This window comes from Homo sapiens, chromosome 16 (genome assembly GCF_000001405.40).
Source record: "Homo sapiens chromosome 16, GRCh38.p14 Primary Assembly".
In the NCBI taxonomy this organism is placed as follows: Eukaryota; Metazoa; Chordata; class Mammalia; order Primates; family Hominidae; genus Homo; species Homo sapiens.
The window spans coordinates 68,204,354-68,224,455 of record NC_000016.10 but is presented as its reverse complement, the minus strand read 5'-3'; the positions used below and the strand labels follow the sequence as shown (position 1 = coordinate 68,224,455).

General features: G+C 42.5%; 1 protein-coding gene and 1 pseudogene across 3 annotated transcripts in view, besides 1 other annotated feature; both read right to left on the bottom strand.

The window, feature by feature from the left end:
• NFATC3 (nuclear factor of activated T cells 3) overlaps positions 1-20,102 on the bottom strand; it is a 143,890-nt gene that overhangs the window by 4,804 nt on the left and 118,984 nt on the right. Inside the window, exon 10 of one of the 3 annotated variants that reach the window (NM_004555.4) lies at positions 10,024-10,127. The exons of 1 other annotated variant lie outside the window; for it this stretch is intronic. In NM_004555.4, coding sequence (NP_004546.1) covers positions 10,027-10,127 — 101 coding nt within the window. In that variant the 3' untranslated portion in view covers positions 10,024-10,026. Of the gene's footprint in view, positions 1-3,171; positions 3,261-10,023; positions 10,128-20,102 lie in introns of all 3 variants that reach the window. One more of the 3 variants, NM_173163.3, reaches the window with a different exon arrangement.
• Positions 13,243-13,312: an enhancer, noted in NCBI's record as "active region_11007". NCBI's record gives its function as "activates an Ori minimal core promoter by ATAC-STARR-seq in GM12878 lymphoblastoid cells {active_cell/tissue: GM12878}" and the evidence as "EXISTENCE:reporter gene assay evidence [ECO:0000049][PMID:35858748]".
• RPS12P27 (ribosomal protein S12 pseudogene 27) lies at positions 14,632-15,075 on the bottom strand (annotated as a pseudogene).

Sequence of the window (20,102 nt, the reverse complement as noted above, 5' to 3'; positions counted from 1 at the left end):
AAAATACAAAAATTAGCCAGGCACGGTGGCAGGCAACGGTAATCCCAGCTACTCAGGAGGCTGAGGCAGGAGAATTGCTTGAACCCGGCGGGTGGAGGTTGCAGTGAGCCAAGATCGTGCCACTGCACTCCAGCCTGGGCAACAGAGTGAGACTCTGTCTCAAAAAAAAAAAAAAAAAAAAGATTTGGCTTAGCTGTGGTTAGTACTGAACATAGAATAGTAAAGAAGTAGGGACTTGAAGCCAAAGGACTCTGCAAAACAGTGAAGATTAATCAATACTGGTGAGCTAATAACTACTAAGTGATAAGCTTTTTTTTTTTTTTTTTTTTAAACTGGTGCATGCCACCGTGTCCGGCTAATTTTTTGTATTTTTAGTAGAGACGGGGTTTCACCATGTTAGCCAGGACGGTCTCGATCTCCTGTCCTCATGATCCACCCACCTCGGCCTCCTGAAGTGCTGGGATTACAGGCATGAGCCCCCGCGCCTGGCCAGTGATAAGCAATTTTTTAAGGTATAGATTAATAAAGTACTTTGTCAGATTTTTTTTTTTTTTTTTTTTTGAGATGGAGTCTTGCTCTGTCACCGAGGCTAGAGTGCAGCGGCACAATCTTGGCTCACTGCAACCTCCGTCTCCCGGGTTCAAGTGGTTCTCCTGCCTCAGCCTCCCAAGTAGCTAGGATTACAGGTGCCCGCCATCGTGCCCGGCTAATTTTTGTATTTTTAGTAGAGACAGGGTTTCACCATCTTGGCCAGGCTGGTCTTGAACTCCTGACCTCATGATCCACCTGCCTCAGCCTCCCAAAGTGCTGGGATTACAGGTGTGAGCCACCACGCCTGGTGTTTTGTTTTTTAAGAGACAGGGTCTCGCTCTGTTACCCAGACCGGAGTGCAGTGGTGCAATCATGGTTCAAACTTGAACTCCTGGGCTCAAGCCATTCTCCCACCTTAGCCTCCAAAGTATTTGGTTGGTATAAAAGTAATTGTGGTTTTTGGCATTACTTCTAATGGCAAGAACCGTGATTACTTCTGCACCAACCTAATAACTGGGACTATAGGCACACACTACCACACCTGGCTGATTTTAAAATTTTTTTTGTAGAGATAGGGTCTTGCTATGTTGCCAAAGCTGATCTCTAACTCCTGGCCTCAAGCAATCCTCCCACAGTGCTGGGATTACAGGCATGAGCCATTGTGCCTGACCTGTCAGATGATATTTAAGTAAATTTGCCAGGCTAGGATTTATTAACCATTCATAATGGATGCTGCAAAGAATAATGGAATATAAACTAAACTTACTCCTGACTTTCTAAAAATAACTCACTGGAATAGTTTCTTTGTAAATGAAAAGTTGTGAGGATGCTTTGCATAAGAATATATTTTTCTCTTCAGTTTCCCCATCAGTACAATGGAGAAGAGAAATACCTCTTATACAGTACATAGAGAGGGAATATAAAGTGGGCATAAGAACGCAAGGCAGCCCTTGGCACCTGTTATTTCAAGTCACAAAAAATATAAGGAAGAGTGTTTTCTGTGCAGGTTCTGGGGGTTCTACGAGCTAGTCTTGTGCTAAGAGGGAGCACAAGGATGGCCCACAAATCTCTGTGCGTGACTTCTAACATGCCTCCTCTTCATATTAGATTATCATCAGGCATCATCATTATGTCTCCCAAATAGGCTATGAACTCCCAAAAGGCAAGAACCTTGCCACTGAGGAAACACCCATTCCTGATGACTAAATAAATGGACCCTAATTCAATACAATCACTTGGAAGCTATTTAGAACAAGCACAGTGAAAGTTCATTAGGTGGTAGGTAGGAAGGGGACCAGAGTATGTTAAGACTAATGCATGTTATTTGATTTTCACAGTGTGTATTTTAGGCAGGCGTTACAGCAGTGGCAAAAAGCCAAATATATAAGCAAGCACCTGGCTCACAATCAAATCATCTTTTCTTATCATTTATCACTTCCAAAGGCAATAATTTCAAAGATGTTCCAGGCTGCTATGAAAAACACTTTTAACAATTTGTATTTCACTGTTCAAGTTTTAAAACTACAAACGGATTTTAAATGGTGTTTTATCATCAAAAACCACATGACGTGTTTTCTCTCTTTTTTTTCTTTTTTCTATTTTTTTTTTTTTTTTTTTTTTTTTTTTTTTTTTTTTGGCAATGGGGTCTCACTCTGTTGCCCAGGCTGGAATGCAGGTGGCACAATCACGGCTCACTGCAGCCTTGATCTTCCCACCTAAGCCTCCTGAGTAGCTGGGCCTACAGGCATGTGCTACTACGCCTATGCCTTTCTAATTTTTGGATTTTTTTTTTCTTTCTGCAGAGATGAGGTCTCACCATGTTGCCCAAGCTAGTCTCAAACTCCTGGACTCAAGTGATCCTCCTGCCTCAGCCTCCTAAAGTACTAGGATTACAGGCGTGACCCACTGCACCCAGCCGAGGTGTTGTTCTTCTATATCTTATAAGAAGTCAATGCTTCTATTTTCCTGACGATGAGGGTCCATATCTGGCACTGTCCATCCACTTACCAAGTACACTTATATAAGGATGAAACCATCATTTTCTAAAGTAGATATGTGGTATTGATTATAATGGAAGCCTGCTCAATGCTGTGTTATTTCTGCTCCCCCTTGCCAAAGCTCTGCTGTTCCTTTGCCTGGTGTGCCTCACCTTACTTAGCTGAAGGAACCTGGAAAGTTCCTGACAGTTTAGGATTTTAAGACTATGTTAAAGTCAGAAGATTTTCCACAAAGTAGTGCTCAAGCGGACTATACTCAACTATACATTATACTACAGGATTCACTTATTTATGAATTCACCAGCAGTCAGGAGATTTAAGTTCCAACGGGGCAGACTTTCTCTATCTTGTTTTCCCCTGAATCCCTAGTGCTTACATATATTGAGTACTAAATAAAATTACTTGCCAACTGAATCTTTAAAACAATTTGGGGACTTGGAACAATGACAACAAAAATCATGCTCAAGTAATTGCTACAGGTGAGCACTGAATATAAATTTTAGGCTAGGGAGTCAGAACTGCAACAAAGTGCTTTCACAGACCTTTAGCAATAACTTGAGCCGAGTGTTAATCATGCAAGTCCTCTGCTTTCCTTCTCCCTCACTTCTCCCTCGGGCTGGGGGCTCTGGGTTCAGGCTCTCACCTCTAGATTCCTCAGATATCTTCCTGCTGGGACTGGCCAAAACGTAGGTCTCAACTGAAGCAAGTCAAAATTATTACTGGTAAACAAATCTATGATGTAATGTAAATGTAAGTCATTAGCAATCTTGATAAGCACAATTTTTAAGTTGTTAAAAATACTAATGCTTGCAATTTAATTTTTCAAGTCATCTTGAATGGATATATGCATGAATTTGCTAATTTATTTAAACTGTAATCCAGGCCAGGTGCCATGGCTCATGCCTGTTATCCCAACACTAGGGGAAGCCAAGGCAGGAAGATTGTTTGAGGCCAGGAGTTCAAGAAGAGCCTGGCCAACAAACAAAGTGACAATTTTTTTTTTTTTTCTGAGACAGAGTCTCCCTCTGTCTCCCAGGCTGGAGTGCGGTGGCGCAATCTCAGCTCACTGCAAGCTCCGCCTCCCAAGTTCACGCCATTCTCTTGTCTCAGCCTCCCGAGTAGCTGGGACTATAGGCGCCCGCCACAATGCCTGGCTATTTTTTTTTTTTTGTATTTTTTTTTTTAGTAGAGACGGGGTTTCACCGTGTTAGCCAGGATGGTGTCGATCTCCTGACCTCGTGATCCACCTGCCTCGACCTCCCAAAGTGCCGGGATTACAGGCGTGAGCCACCCTGCCCGGCCGGGACAATTTGTCTCTTAAAAAAAAAAAAAAGGAAAAATAAACTCTAGTCCACTAAGTATGTGAGGTGGTTTCCTATTTTTTTCACCAATTTAAGATAAGAGTATAAGGAATTGTTTATGCCCCTAATGTACAATTTTATCATTTTTCTTCCCCCCAATTTTTTTGAGATAGAGTCTTACTCTGTCACCCAGGCTAGAGTGCAGTGGTGTGGTCTTGGCTCACTGCAACTGCTGCCTCCCACCCAGCTAATTTTTGTATTTTTGGTAGAAACGAGGTTTCTGCCATGTTGGCCAGGTTGGTCTCAAACTCCTGACCTCACATGATCTGGCCACCTCGGCCTCTCAAAATGCTGGGATTACAGGCGTGAGTCACCGCACCCAGCCCTCATTTTCCTCCCTTTAAAGAGCAAAGTGAATTAAAAGCCTAGAACAAGAGTGAACAGTCCTCAATAAGGGTGCTAACAGGTTATGTAGGTCACAGGATCTGGCACACTTTTGGCAGCCACCATCTGTGACTTCCACTACCCCAACACCTGAATTTGCCTGTGCCACCACAACAAAAGTAGAGTCACAGCTATCAATAATGTTTGCTGTAAGAGAAAAAGTTCGTATTCAAGAAATGTTCAAATTGGCAGTCCACTGGAATGCTATTTCTACACACAAGAATGAGGTGCTTGAGTACCAATAGGACTCTTATTTAGAGCTATTTCCCATGCTTAAGAATTCAAAGTTAGAACTGACAAGTATATAGTATGGAACCTCACAACCAGGTAGAGAGGGGCAGGGTAACCCAGTGTGCTCCCTCTTTGAAGGGAGTAGATACACACTGCCATATACACAAAATCCCAACGGGCCTTTCTAATTTGCAATTTTGTAAAGGATTTCGGGGTATTTTTAGACTCCATTTATATGTTATTTCCTCTTGAAGCTGCAATGAACATTCACCAAAGTTTGGTCATGTTATTCTTTTCCTGAACCTGAAGATTAAAGGTATTCATCCCCTGGGTAAACAATTTTATGAAGGTGTTATTATTATTATTATTACTATTATTATTTTAGGAGACAGTGTCTTAGTCTGCCACCCAGGCTGGAGTGAAGTGGTGTGATCATAGCTCACTACAGCCGTGAACTCCTAGGCTCAAGCGATCCTCCCGCTTCAGAGCCCTGCCCCAAGTAGCTGGGACTACAGGCATGTGCCACCAAGACCAGCTAATTTATTTTTTTATTTTTATTTATTTTTTTTGAGACAGAGTCTTGCTCTGTCACCTAGGCTGGAGTGCAGTGGCATGATCTCAGCTCACCGCAACCTCCGCCTCCCGGGTTCAAGCAATTCTCCTGCCCCAGCCTCCCAAGTAGCTGGGATTACAGGTACCTGCCACCATGCCCAGCTAATTTTTTTTGTATTTTAGTAGAGGCGGGGTTTCACCATGTTCAGGCTGGTCTCAAACTCCTGACCTTGTGATCTGCCCGCTTCAGCCTCCCAAAGTGCTGGGATTACAGGCGTGAGCCACCGCGCCTGGTCCAGCTGATTTATTTTTGGGGAGGATAGAGACAGGGTCTTATTATGTTGCCCAGGCTGGTCTCGAACTTCTGGCCTCAATTGATCCTTCTACCTCGCCTCGGCCTCCTAAAGCGCTGGCATTACAGGCATGAATCACCGTGCCCAGCCGAGATGTTGTTTTTATAAAATAAAGACTAAATGTATTTTAAAAATGAAGCCTACATGTATGCAATTATTATAAAAGCACCATCTAGGCCGGGCGTGGTGGCTCACGCCTGTAATCTCAGCACTTTGGGAGGCCGAGGCGGGCGGATCATGAGGTCAGGAGATTGGGACCATCCTGGCTAACATGGTGAAACCCCGTCTCTATTAAAAATACAAAAAATTAGCTGGGCGTGGCGGCAGGCACCTGTAGTCCCAGCTACTCAGGAGGCTGAGGCAGGAGAATGGAGTGAACCCATGAGGCAGAGCTTGCAGTGAGCCAAGATCGCACACTGCACTCCAGCCTGGGTGACAGAGTGAGACTCTGTCTCAAAATAAAAAAAAAAAGCACCATCTAAACTAAATACAGGAAAAAATACTGAATTCACCTTTTTTTTTTTTTTTTTTTGAGAGGCTCTCATTCTGTCGCCCAGGCTGGAGTGCAGTGGCACGATCTTGGCTCACTGCAACCTGCACAGCACCAAACCTGGCCAATTTTTTCTTAAATTTTTGGTAGAAACAGGGTTTGCCATGTTGCCCAGGCTGGTCTCAAACTCCTGAACTCAAGTGATCTGTCTGCCTCGGCCTTCCAAAGTGCTGGGATAACAGGCATGAGCCACCATGCCTGGCCTGAATTCACCTATTTATGGCATGAGTTGAGAAATTAATTTGGATTTATCAAAATCTGATTAATTTGGCCAGGTGTGGTGGGTCATGCTTGTAATCCCAGCACTTTGGGAGGTTGAGACAAGAGGATCACTTGAGCCCAGGGAGTTCCAGGATGCAGTAAGCTATGATCGTGCACCACTGCACTCCAGCCTAGGCAACAGTGTGAGACCCTGTCTCCAAATAAAACAAAAAAAAGGGAAAAACCAAAAAATATTCATTTGATTTTTCAAGCTACAGACAGAAATAAGTTCCTGAAAATTTAGAAGGTATCTATGGTAGGCTGCTAATTATCTTAATTCATTCTTCCACAGTAATCGAGGTTTAGTTAGTCACACTGACACCCAGCTACAGAGTATATTTCCTGGCTTCCCCAGTGTAGCTAGGTATGGCCCATGCAATTCGTTTTCTTCAATGAAATGTGAGCAAAAGCGATGTACGTATCTTCCTCATCACTTGCTTGGCCTCCTTCTTCCTCCCTTTTTCCCATCCCTTCCTCGGGCTAAGACTCAGTCATGACTAAGTGGTTTCTCTGCTTTGACAAAACCTAAGGAGAAAGAGGAACAACAAATTGAAAGGAATCTTGATCTCTGAATTATCATGAGGTGTGAGAGAAATTTCCTATGTGGAAATGTCTCTGGGATCTCCATTATACTCACTTAGCTAATACTATTAACAAAAATAAAACTTACCACCATAATTATAACACAGGAAGAATATTTAAGTACTGTAAGCAAGAAAACCAGCTTGAGCTCTTTCATGCCAGATTTTTTTTTTTTTTTTTTTTTTTTTTGAGACAGAGACTAGATCTTGCTCTGTTGCCCAGGCTGGAGTGCAGTGGCATGATCTTGAAAGCTGGAGTGCAGTGGCGTGATCTTGGCTCACTGCAACCTCACCTCCCATGCTCAAGGGAGCCTCCTGCCTCAGCCTCCCGAGTAGCTGGGACTATAGGCATGAGCCACCATGCCCAGCTAATTTTTGTATTTTTTGTAAAGACAAGGTTTCGCCATGTTGCCCAGGCTGGTCTCAAACTCCTGGGCTCAAGCAATCTGCCTACCTCGGCCTCCCAAAGTGTTGGGATTACAGGCATGACCTACTGAATCCAAGCCTAATTATTTTTTTTCTTCTTTTTACCTTATACAATGGGGTGGACTGATAGATTTTTAACTAAGTTATCTCAAATTTCACCCTGAATTCCAGACAGCTTCCTACCATTGAACAGATTAAAAATACATGCACGATTTGAAGATATCCTTCACTTTTTTAATATAAAAAAATTTCACCAGCAATAGATCAGAGATTCACTTTTAACATTAGCTCTAATACTAGTAAAGAAAAATTATTATACCTTTTTTCCCCACCCAACGGATTGAGGGGGAAAATCAGTCCTCTTAAGACTCCTTCCTTTTTAAGAAACCTCTTCTTGGCCGGGTGTAGTGGCTCACACCTGTAATCCTAGCACTTTGAGAGGCCAAGGTTGGCGGATCGCTTGAGGTCAGGCGTTCAAAACCAGCCTGGCCAACACGGTGAAATCCCATCTCTACTAAAAATACAAAATATTAGCCAGGTGTGGTGGCAGGTGCCTGTAATTTCAGCTACTTGGGAGGCTGAGGAAGGAGAATTGTTTGAACCTGGGAGGCGGAGGTTGCAGTGAGCCAGTATGATGCCAATGCACTCCAGCCTAGGCAACAGAGCGAGACTGTCTCAAAAAGAAAAAAAAAAAAGAAAACCTCTTCTATGTGTGATGCTATAATCAACGTCATAACAATGTTTCCTCTAGGAAATGTTTTTAACTGAAAACATTCTACAAAGACAAACATTAAATCTCCAGCTGAGTAAACAGTACACAGGTACTTGAAAGTATATTCAAGTATCAGCATGTACTCTTTTCTATCAGCAAAAGCTGAAATGTGAAAAAAATAAACAACTTCTCTCAATTTGGCTTAAGATGTGAGACTCAGAAGCATTTTAAAATTATCAGAAGAATCCTTTATCCCTATTTTGCTCATTTTGTACATTTTCCTCTGAATAATCTTGTCCATTGTTGACTCCCAAATCTATCTCTAAGGGCCAAACCTGAGCTCCAGACCCAAAAATCCACAGGACCCATTCCACTACCTGTGCTCTGGAACCTCTTCAACACCTTGCGGCATCAATTTTCTTCACTTCTTTGTCTCTATCAACTTGTCTCCCCAGATCCTTCTCATCAGCACTTAATATGTGTAAATCTGGGCCAGCGCGGTGGCTCATGCCTGTCATCCCAGCACTTTGGGAGGCCAAGGTGGGCGGATCACGAGGTCAGGACATCGAGACCATCCTGGCTAACACAGTGAAACCCCATCTCTACTAAAAATACAAAAAATTAGCCGGGCGTGGTGGCAGGCGCCTTGTAGTCCCAGCTACTCGGGAGGCTAAGGCAGGAGAATGGCGTCAACCTGGGAGGCGGAGCGTGCAGTGAGCGGAGATCGCACCACTGCACTCCAGCCTGGGTGGCAGAGCAAGACTCCATCTCAAAAAAAAAAAAAAAAAAAAAAAGTGCAAATCTCTCTATCTCAAAGAAGCAAGCAAGCAAATAAAAACACTCAACCCCATGTTCCCCTCTGTATCTAATTCTTTCTTTCATGGCTTAACATCTTAAAGGAGTTGTCTACACTGCTGTTTCTTCTATGTTCTCACCTCTTATTTACTCAGTCATCCATCGATCCCTTCACTCCACATAATACTTCCTTCTTACCAAGATCATTAGTGACCAACTTGTTGCTTCACACATGGGAAGCACACTGGGCTTAACACTGGAAGAAGTAAGCTTTAGCCTTGGTTTGGCTGTGATGTGACTCAGGTGACTTAACTAATCCTTCTGCAACTTATTTTCTCACCCCTAATATGAGGAAATTATTTTAAATCCTCTGGTTATAACTCTCCTGAGAGTTTTATATACATTCAATGCAGGAATTAAGTCACCACTCCTCTCATGGTTGGACAAGAATGATGTGAGACCAGGGTAGGCCCAGTTCTGGGAGAAGTTAGGGTTTTGGTATCTTGTCTGATAGGTCATCAGGAAGCTGCAGAAACCTAAATATAAAGGTTTGGGTAGTGAACATGATTTCCAAGGCCCCTTCCAAATCCAGATTCATTTTAAAATAAAATTCAAATGGCATTTAGGAAGGTATAATCTGTGTATTTATAATTTCTATCATATATTTTCTTAAGTGGCTTTCATAGTATTTGAAGAAAGGAGCCAACATGACAGCAAGGAACAGCTTCGTTCCTCCTTGGCTGCTGAGTCTAGAAGCCTAAGCCTAGACACAGACACTGGCTCTAGTACTACAGCTTTCTTCCAAGTAGAGCCCCAGAGGACTACCGGAAGTGCAAACATGGGCCCACAGGGGAGGCTAGGGATAAATATTCTGGGTTGCCTCTGAAAAACGGACAAAATTTCCTGATTTCATTCACATCAAAAGTTAAGAGTACTTGACCAGGAATGAGTAGGCTTACATACCTGATCAGCAACCAAATTTACTGAGCAACCCAAACCATATAGAATTCATAGATACGAAACCTCTTTCTGCTTTGGTCTAATAAATCTAAGTAAACACTTCCCTTTCATTCAAGAATAAAATCATAAGCACAAGTGTAAGAGCCTGAGTGTGGTTAAGTTTAAAAAGCAGAGTCTTTTAGTCAAAGTGTAGTTCCAAAGATAATGAGTGGGCCTACCAGAAAATGCCCGTGCATACCCCCTCCTCTGTAGCACATGCAAATCCAGCCACTGCATGCAAATACCAGACTTGGGCACAAAAACAATGACACATTTCAATCAACACTCACCCTCTAGATTCTCCAGAAAGGAGCTGGACATGAGAGCACACTGTGGTTAGGCCATTTCTCTGCTGAACCTGATGGCTGGTGTTCCAAGTCAGATATAAATTGGTCTGTGTCAAAGAAGACAACATCACTACTGAATGGAACAAACCAGAGGGTGAACTTAATCTACTACAGTGCCCAGCCTGTTTTTTTTCTATAATCAAAAGGAATTTAACTGTCTTTTACTTGTCAATCACTGCATAAAATGGCTCTCCACATTTTATTAGATAAAATAAATACTGGAGTTCAGATAGCTCAGGTACTAAGATGATTCTTTTAAAAATTTGAAGGGCAATAACTTTAAGAGTTACAATTATGGTTTTCAGTGGTTTTAAGGGATAAATTCAGCTTTAAATAAACTAGTTTTTATTACATTATATCTATTAGTAGTTCCCAAATACTTGGCTAAGGCTACATCAAAATTATCTGGGCAACTGATAAAAATATAAACTCCTGAATGTTTTATAAAAATACAAACTCAAACCACAAAATCAAAATCTTCAAGGGTAGCAGCCCAGAAAACTATATGTACAGCCAAATCTGGGAGTCATGGAAGAGTATTTTTTTTGAGATGGAGTCTCACTCTGTCACCCAGGCTGGAGTGCAGTGGCACAATCTCTGCCCACTGCAACCTCTGCCTCCCAGGTTCAAGTGATTCTCCTGCCTCAGCCTCCCTAGTAGCTGGGACTACAGGCACTCACCACCATGCCTGGCTACTTTTTGTATTTTTAGTAGAGATGGGGTTTCAACCATGTTGGCCAGGTGGGTCTCAAACTCCTGGCCTCAGGTTATCCGCCCGCCTAGGCCTCCCAAAGTGCTAGGATTACAGGCGTAAGCCACCATGCCCGCCTGGAGGAGTATTTTTTAAACTAAAGTTCACATCCATTAGAAATTTATGAAATCAATTCAGCAAGTTGAAACTAGTATTTTTTTTTTAATTTTTATTTTTTTTAATTTTTATTTATTTATTTATTTATTTTTTGAGACAGAGTCTTGCTCTGTCGCCCAGGCTGGAGTGCAGTGGCACCATCTTGGCTCGCTGCAAGCTCCACCTCCTGAGTTCACGCCATTCTCCTGCCTCAGCCTCCTGAGTACCTGGGACCACAGGTGCCCGCCACCACGCCCGGCTAATTTTTTGTATTTTTAGTAGAGACAGGGTTTCACCTTCTTAGCCAGGATGGTCTTGATCTCCTGACCTTGTGATCCACCCACCTCGGCCTCCCAAAGTGCTGGGATTATAGGCGTGAGCCACTGCACCCGGCCCCTGAAACTAGTATTTTAAAGAAGAGAAAGAAACAGGCCGGGCATGGTGGCTCACACCTGTAATCCCAGCACTTTGGGAGGCTGAGGCGGGTGGATCATGAGGTGAGGACACCGAGACCATCCTGGCTAACACGGTGAAACCCTGTCTCTACTAAAAATACAAAAAAAAAAAAAAAATCAGCCAGGCGTGGTGGCGGGCGCCTGTAGTCCCAGCTACTTGGGAGGCTGAGGCAGAAGAATGGCGTGAACCTGGGAGGTAGAGCTTGCAGTGAGCCAAGATCACGCCACTGCACTTCAGCCTGGGCAACAGAGTGAGACTCCATCTCAAAAAAAAAAAAAAAAAAAAAAGAGAAAGAAATAGAACAAAATAGAAGATAGCAGGCTGCATTCCCTCTAATAAAGGTTAAGAATTGGTTTGTGAGACTTTAACATTAGTTGTATATGTATGTATTTTTTGTGTACTGGGTCACAACATAATCCTTGTATTTTATTGTAGGAAGCTGTCAAAAATGTTTGAAAGTCACTGCACAAAAGAAGAGTCACCACTGGTCAGTTTTGCAGTACTGGCTAAAGCATTCAGATGCCCCAAGAGTCAAAAACACAATAACGAAATAGTGAGACTCCGACTCAAACAACAACAACAACAACAACTCTCATCTTTTTGCCTATAAGGAATTATTCTTGGCCTCTGTTGTACAACTTCAAGTAAAAGGACCTAACCTACTTAGAAGGGAAAAATCTGCATGTAGTCTCTATGAACACTAACTAATACCTTCCTTTTAAGCAGATAAAAAAAGAAAAACAAAGGAAGAGTCAATCTGTACAAAATGCACCCTCACTATAGGGGTCAAAACAAAACAAAATCCAGAAATCCTTTGGTTAAGCAAAATTTTTCTGACTTAAGCTTGTTTATTATTTGAGATCACTCACCTAGTTTTCAGAGGTGATTTAAAGATTACAGTGTGTGCAAAGTATTTTAAATACTGAAAATATCAAAATACTCTTTCTGGGGGTTCCCAATCTCCACAACTGAATCCTCCAAAACAGACTTGAAGGTATAGAACATGTGATTACAGGTACAGCAGCATAAAAATCATAAGAAAGCATCCCAGGAACAAAGCAAGAGGCCAACACACACTATGGGAGCTTTTGTGAGTGGATGAATTCAGTGGTACTTTCAGATTGTGCTTTACAGAAACTTGCAGTGCTCCAGAAATCCTTCTAGTTCCTTGAAGCACTTTCGTGAGCTCCAAAATATACCTCATTCATCTCTCCTGATCACAAGAACTTTGACCAAACATTTACAAAAGTGTGCCGGGCACGGTGCCTCATGCCTGTAATCCCAGCACTTTGGGAGGCCAAGGCGGGTAGATCACCTGAGGTCAGGAGTTCGAGACCAGCCTGGCCAGCATGGTGAAACCCCGTCTCTACTAAAAACACAAAAATTAGCTGGGCGTGTGGTAGATGCCTGTAATCCCAGCTACTCAGGAAGCTGAGGCAGGAGAATTGCTTGAACCTGGGAGGCGGAAGTTGCAGTGAGCTGAGATCATGCCATTGCACTCCAGACTGGGCAACAGGGTGAGACTCCGACTCAAACAACAACAACAACAACAACAACAACAAAAAACATTTACAGAAGAAGAGTTTCAGCCGGGCACAGTGGCTCACGCCTGTAATCCCAGCACTTTGGGAGGCCGAGGCGGGAGGATCACAAGGTCAGGAGATAGAAACCATCCTGGCCAACATGGTGAAACCCCGTCTCTACTAAAAATACAAAAATTAGCTGGGCATAGTGGTGAGTGCCTGTAATCCCAGCTACTCGAGAGGCTGAGGCAGGAGAATGGCGTGAACCCGGGAGGTGGAGGTTGCAGTGAGCTGAGATCGCGCCACTGCACTCCAGCCTGGCGACAGAGCGAGACTCCATCTCAAAACAAAACAAAGAAAAAAGAGTTTCGATTCTTTTGAAACTCTTAAAAAGATTAAAGAAAAGGAAACACTTCCTAACTCATTATGAGGCCAGAATTTACTCTGACACAAAGCCAGAAAAAGATACTATAAGAAAAGAAAAGGCTAGGCACAGTGGCTTACACCTGGGAGGCTAAGGTGGGTGGATCACGAGGTCAGGAGTTCGAGACCAGCCTGGCCAATATGGTGAAACCCCATCTCTACTAAAAATACAAAAAAATTAGCCGGGCATGGTGGTGCGCACTTGTAGTCCCAGCTACTCGGGAGGCTGAAGCAGAAGAATCGCTTGAACTGGGGAGGCAGAGGTTGCAGTGAGCCGAGGTCACACCACTGCATTCCTGCCTGAGCGACAGAGCAAGACTCCATCTCAAACAAACAAAAAAACAAAAAAACTACAGAATATTCTTTATGAATATAGATGCAAAAATCAACAAAACACTAACACAATTCAGCAGCATATTAAAAGGATGATACATTAAGACCAAGTGAGTTTTATTCCCAGAATGCAAGGATGATTCAACAAATGAAAATCAATTAAAGTAATATGCCAAATTAGTTGAACAAAAGAAAAAAAAACATACTCCTGACTGGCATGGGCAACATGGCAAGACCCTACCTCTACAAAAATTAATTTAAAAACCACATGATCATCTCGATAGATGCAGAAAAGTGTTTGTAAAAATTCTTTTATTTTTTTTGAGACAAGGTGTCACTCTGTCACCAAGGCTGGTGTGCAGTGGCACAATAATGGCTCACTGCAGCCTCTACCTCCCAGGCTCAAGCAATCCTCCCACTTCAGCTTCCCAAGTATTTGGGACCACAGCACCTGGCTAATTTTTTGTATTCTTTTTTTTTTTCTTTTTTTTTTTTTGAGAAGGAATCTCACTCTGTCGCCCAGGCTGGAGCGCAGTGGCATGATCTTGGCTCACTGCAAGCTCCGCCTTCCGGGTTCACGCCATTCTCCTGCCTCAGCCTCCCGAGTAGCTGGGACTACAGGTGCCCGCCACCATGCCCAGCTAATTTTTTTGTATTTTCAGTAGAGATGGAGTTTCACTGTGTTAGCCAGGATGGTCTCAATGTCCCGACCTCGTGATCCGCCCACCTCGGCCTCCCAAAGTGCTGGGATTACAGGCGCGAGCCACTGCACCTGGCCATTTTTTGTATTTTTAGCAGAGATGGGATTTCATGTTGCCCAGGCTGGTCTTGAACTCTTGGGCTCGAGCAATCTGCCCACCTCGGCCTCCCAAAGTGCTAGGACTACAGGATTGAGCCAACATGCCCAGAGTGAGTGTGACTGTGAGTGTGTGTGTGTGTGTGTCTGTGTGTGTGTTGGGGGGCAGGGGGGTTAGCCAGAGTTTTATTCGTTCATTTCTTGCATTTGAAGTACTTCAACTACTACACAACTGCAACGAACCACTTTACGGGGTTTCCCCTCTCTGTCAATTTTACAGAGACCTAACCATTCCCCCTAGCTTCTTGTCATCAACCTTAAGTAGGTTGATTTGGTGTTCAGCACAAAGAACCTCTATGAACTTGACATAGGCTCATCACAGTTGGATGCAAACACACAAAAGATGGGCCTGACCCTTCAGCAGCTTTGCAAATTCCACGTGCTAGGCCATCATGGGTGAGGACAGTCTTCAACACCTCTTGTAAAGCAGTATTAACAGCCACCACACCTCCAGCAGCAACACCTTCCGTGGCCATGGTGGTGGTCTACGGGTGAAGCTGAATCTTGAATGCACCCAAGCCTCTGCCTCCACTCAACTCAGCAGTGGCAGGGAAAGAACTCTTTTTCTTTGAGACGGTCTCACTCTGTTGCCCAGGCTGGAGTGCAGTAGCATCCCAATCACGGCTCACTGCAGCCTCCACCTCCTGGGTTCTAGCTATCTGCCCGCCTCAGCCTCCCAAAGTGCTGGTATCACAGGCGTGAGCCACCGTGCCCAACTCATTTATCAAAATTCAATGCTCTTTCAAGATGAAAACATTCAATAAACAAAGAATAGAAGGAATTTCCTCAATATGAAAAAGGCCATATATGAAAAACTGTTAGTTCCTATCATTATCAACAAAGAACAAAAGCTTTCCCCCTAAGATCACAAACAAAGCAAAGATGCCCACTCTTTCACCACTTCTACTAGCCTACCACTAGAAGTTCTAGCCAGAGCAATTAGGTTAGAAAAATAAATAAATACATAAAGCCCATCCAAATTAAAAAGGAAGAGAGAAAATTATCTCTATTCACGAATGGCATGATAGTATAAACATAAAACTCTAAAGAATCCACACAGACAAAAAAATGTTAGCACTAACAAATAAAGTCACCAAAGTGGCAGAATATAGAATCAACACACAATATTCAGTTGTACTTCTATATACTTGGAATGAAAGGTCCAAAAAAAATTAAGAAAACAATTCTTGTTTTGGGGTTTTTTTTTTTGGTTTGTTTTTGAGACGGAGTCTCAGGCTGGAGTGCAGTGGCATAATCTTGGTTCACTCCAACTTCTGTCTCCCAGGTTCAAGCGATTCTCCTGCCTCAGTCCCACAAATAGCTGGGATTACAGGCATATGCCACCACACCCAGCTAATTTTTGTATTTTTAGTAGAGACAGAGTTTCCCCATGTTGGCCAGGTGGGCCCACGTTAGCCAGGTTGGTCTTGAACTCCTGAACTCAGGTGATCAGCCTGCCTCAGCCTCCCAAAGTGCTGGGATTACAAGTGTGAGCCGCTGTGCCCAATCTTAAGAAAAACAATTCTATTTACAGTGGCATCAAAAAGAATAAAATACTTAGGAATTAACCAAAGAGGCATAAGATTTCTACATTGAAAACTAGACCGGGCATGGTGGCTCATGCCTATAACCCTGCACTTTGGGAGGCTAAGGCGGGTGGCTCACCTGAGGTCAGGAGTTTGAGACCAGCCTGACTAATATGGAGAAACCCCATCTCTAATAAAAATACAAAAAATTAGCCAGGCGTGGTGGTGTGAGCCTGTAAACCCAGCTACTCAGGAGGCTGAGGCAGGAGAATCGCTTGAACTTGGGAGGTGGAGGCTGCAGTGAGCCAAGGTCATGCCACTACACTCCAGCTTGGGTGACACAGCCAGATTCCGTCTCAAAAATAAATAAATAAATAAAATAAAGGATTTGGATAGACAAGAAAATATACAAATGGACAACAGGCACATGAAAAGATGCTCAACACCATTAGTCAATAGGGAAATGCAAATCAAAATTATAATGAATATAACTTAATACCCAGTAGGATGGCTATTATTTTAAAAATGGAAAATAACATGTGTTGGCAAGGGTATAAAGAAACTGAAAGCCTTATACATTGTAAATGTAAAATGGTGTGGCTGCTGTAGGATTAAAAAAAATAGTGGTTCCTCAAAAAGTTGAACATGGAGGCTGGGCTTGGTGGCTCACGCCTGCAATCCCAGCACTTTGGGAGGCTGAGGAGGGTGGGTGACCTGAGGTCAGAAGACAGATCAGTGTGGCCAACATGGTGAAACCCCGTTTTTACTAAAAATACAAAAATTAGCTGGGCGTGATGGCACATGCCTGTAATCCCAGCTACTCAGGAGGCTGAGGCATGAGAATCGCTTCAACCCAGGAGGCAGAGACTTCAGTGAGCCCAGATCGCACCACTGCACTCCAGCCTGGGTGACAGAGTGGGACTCCATCTCAAAAAGAAAGTTGAACACAGAATTACCATAGGACCCAGCAATTCCACTCTTACGTAAACACACAAAAGTACTGAAAAGAGGGACTCAAACAGTATGTATGCCAGTGTTCACAGCAGCATTATTCCCAACAGCCGAGAGGGAAACAATACAAATTATCTTTTTTTTTTTTTTGAGATGGAGTTTTGCTCTTGTTGCCTAGGCTGGAGTGCAATGGCATGGTCTCGGCTCACTGCAACCTTTGCCTCCCAGGCTCAAGCGATTCTCCTGTCTCAGTCTTCCGAGTAGCTGAGATTACAGGCGCCCACCACCATGCCCAACTAATTTTTGTATTTTTAGTAGAGATGGGGTTTCACCGTGTTGGTCAGGCTGGTCTCGAACTCCTGACCTGAGGTGATCCACCTGCCTCAGCCTCCCAGGTGCTGGGATTACAGGCGTGAGCCACCGAGCCCTGTCCATCTTTTTTTTTTTTTTTTTTTAATATGTATGCGTTCATCAACTTTTTTTGAGACAGGGTCTCTGTTGCCCGGGTTGGAGTGCATGGTGCAATCTCAGCTCACTGCAACCTCCATCTCCTAAGCTCAGGTGATCCTCTCATCTCAGCCTCCTGAGTAGCTAGAACTACAGGCGCACACCACCACGCCCAACTAATTTTTAAATTTTTTATAGACATGGGGTCTCGCCATGTTGCCCAGGCTGGTCCTGATCTTCTGGGCTCAGGCAATCCACCCACCTCAGCTTCCCAATGTGCTGGGATTAGAGACGTGAGCTACTGTGCCTAGGCCCAAATTATTTTTCACCAGATGAATGGATAAACAAGATGTGGTGTACACAAAAAATTGAATATTATTCCTCCATATGGAATATTATATGTAAATAATATGCTATATAAAAATATTCCAATAGATTATTCCTCCGTATGCTTACAATATGGATGAGCCTTGAAAACATTATGCTAAGTGAAATAAGCCAGACAAAAAAGGAAAAACATTGTGTAATCCCACTTATATGAAGTATCTAGAGTAGGGAAATTCATAGAGACAGAAAGCAGAGTACAGGTTACCAGGGGCTGGGAGGACGGGAAGGAAATGAGTAGTTATTACTTTAATAGAGTTGTAGTTTGGGTGATGAAAAACTTCTGGAAATAGAAAGTGGTGGTGGTTATACAATATTGTGAATGTATTTAATGCCACTTAGCTATACACTTAAAATGATTAAAATGGTAAATTTTGAATTTTAAACAAACTTTGGATTTTCTCATGGGAGAACATTGTGTGAAATGACTTAATTAGGTTTTCACAGCTCTAACCATTAACTTAAAGCAAGACTTAGAGGACTTTTGTAAATCCCTCTTTTAAAATTTATAAATCTGGATACATTCAACTCATACCTCAATGAGCTAATGCACCTAACAAAGGGCTTCTATAAATCAGTAAGAGGAAGGATCAACAATCTAATAGAAAAGTAAGCAAATATGAAAGAGATCATAGATTTGGGAGGTGGGGGTTGCAGTGAGCCGAGATGGTGCCACTGTACTCCAGCCTGGGCAGTAGAGCGAGAATCCATCTCAAAAAAAAAAAGAAAAAAAGATAGTGGTGCAAATATTCAAAGCAGTATTTTATAGAATATTTTATGGAATATTCTATTTTAAGAATATCTTTTCAAGGAAGCTCTTTTATGTTACAGTATAGAATAATCTCTCAAGATTCTATATTACATGGGAAATGCAAAGTATAAACTAGTATACATAATATGCTAGTAAAAATAAGGGGAAAAAAATGCAACTGTTTATAAATGCATAGAATGACAGCCAAGAAACTAGTAACTCCAATTCTCCCTACAGAGGACAATGGAGTATCTACTTAGAAGACAGATTTTTTTTAACTATGTATAATGTTGTAACTTTAGCATTTTAAACCACATGAACATATTACTTGTTCAAAAAATGATTATATTAAGAAACACAGGCCAGGCATGGTGGCTCACGCCTGTAATCCTAGCACTTTGGGAGGCCGAGACCAACCTGAGCAACGTAGTAAAAGCCTGCCTCTACAAAAAAATTTAAAAATTAGCCGGATGTGGTGGCAGGCACCTGTAGCCCCAGCTACTCGGGAGGCTGAGGTGGGAGAGAAATGCTGGAGCCTGGGAGGTCGAGGCTGCAGTGAGCCATGATGGTCCCACTGCACTCCAGCCTGATCAACAGAGCAAACTCCTGTCTCCGTTCCCCCACCAAAGAAATAAACACATTTAAAATGTTAAAATTCCCATTCTACATAAAATCATCTATAGATGTTTTTAAATATACAACATGATTATCAAGGACTTAATCTGTACCACACTCTTGTAGATGTAAAGTTAAAATGCTTGTAACCATCACTCTCAACCCTACCCTATCTTCCAGCATAAATGAGACTTTCACATGTTGTCTCTTGCCCAGATGGAGACACTAACTGTAGGCTTTGGAAATGTCTTTAAAAAAAAAAAAAAAAAAGAGCCAGGCATCTTCAAACAGAGAAAAGCTGTTTGAACACATTTATCTAAGTCTATCAAAAGCTATGATTGTTAGCAAGAGGTAACCTTGTAATGCCAAGGCAGAAAACTGCCACCAAACCACAAAAAGCTTGTTCAACTGCTGAACCTAAAATTAAACAATTTATCTCTCATTAAAAAATCTTTTTGTTCCTGTGAATAATCTGTCTTCGAAGGAACTCAAAAAAAGGATATCAATTTTAAAATAGAATACATCTTTAAGACAGGTTTTGCTATCTTACACATGGCAGCACATTAGAAAGTTACAATGCTATTGTCTTTACGAAAGCGAGATTATATAAGTAATCAATTATAGCTATTTTAGAAGCCACTAAAAACACATGTGAGAAAATCTACATTTCAGACAAATCTGGATTCAAATGTCTGCCCCAATTATTTGTGGCCATATAACGCTGGGATGTGCTTAAGGTCTCTGAGCCACATCTATACAAAATTAAGACTAATAATTCACATTTCACACATGATTGCAAAGAATTAATGAGCCACTAGCAAAGTGCCTAGCACAGTGTTCAAAAAAAATATGAGTTTATCAAGAAACAGTAACCATAATTCATTACCATTTTTTGTATTTTTGAGACAGA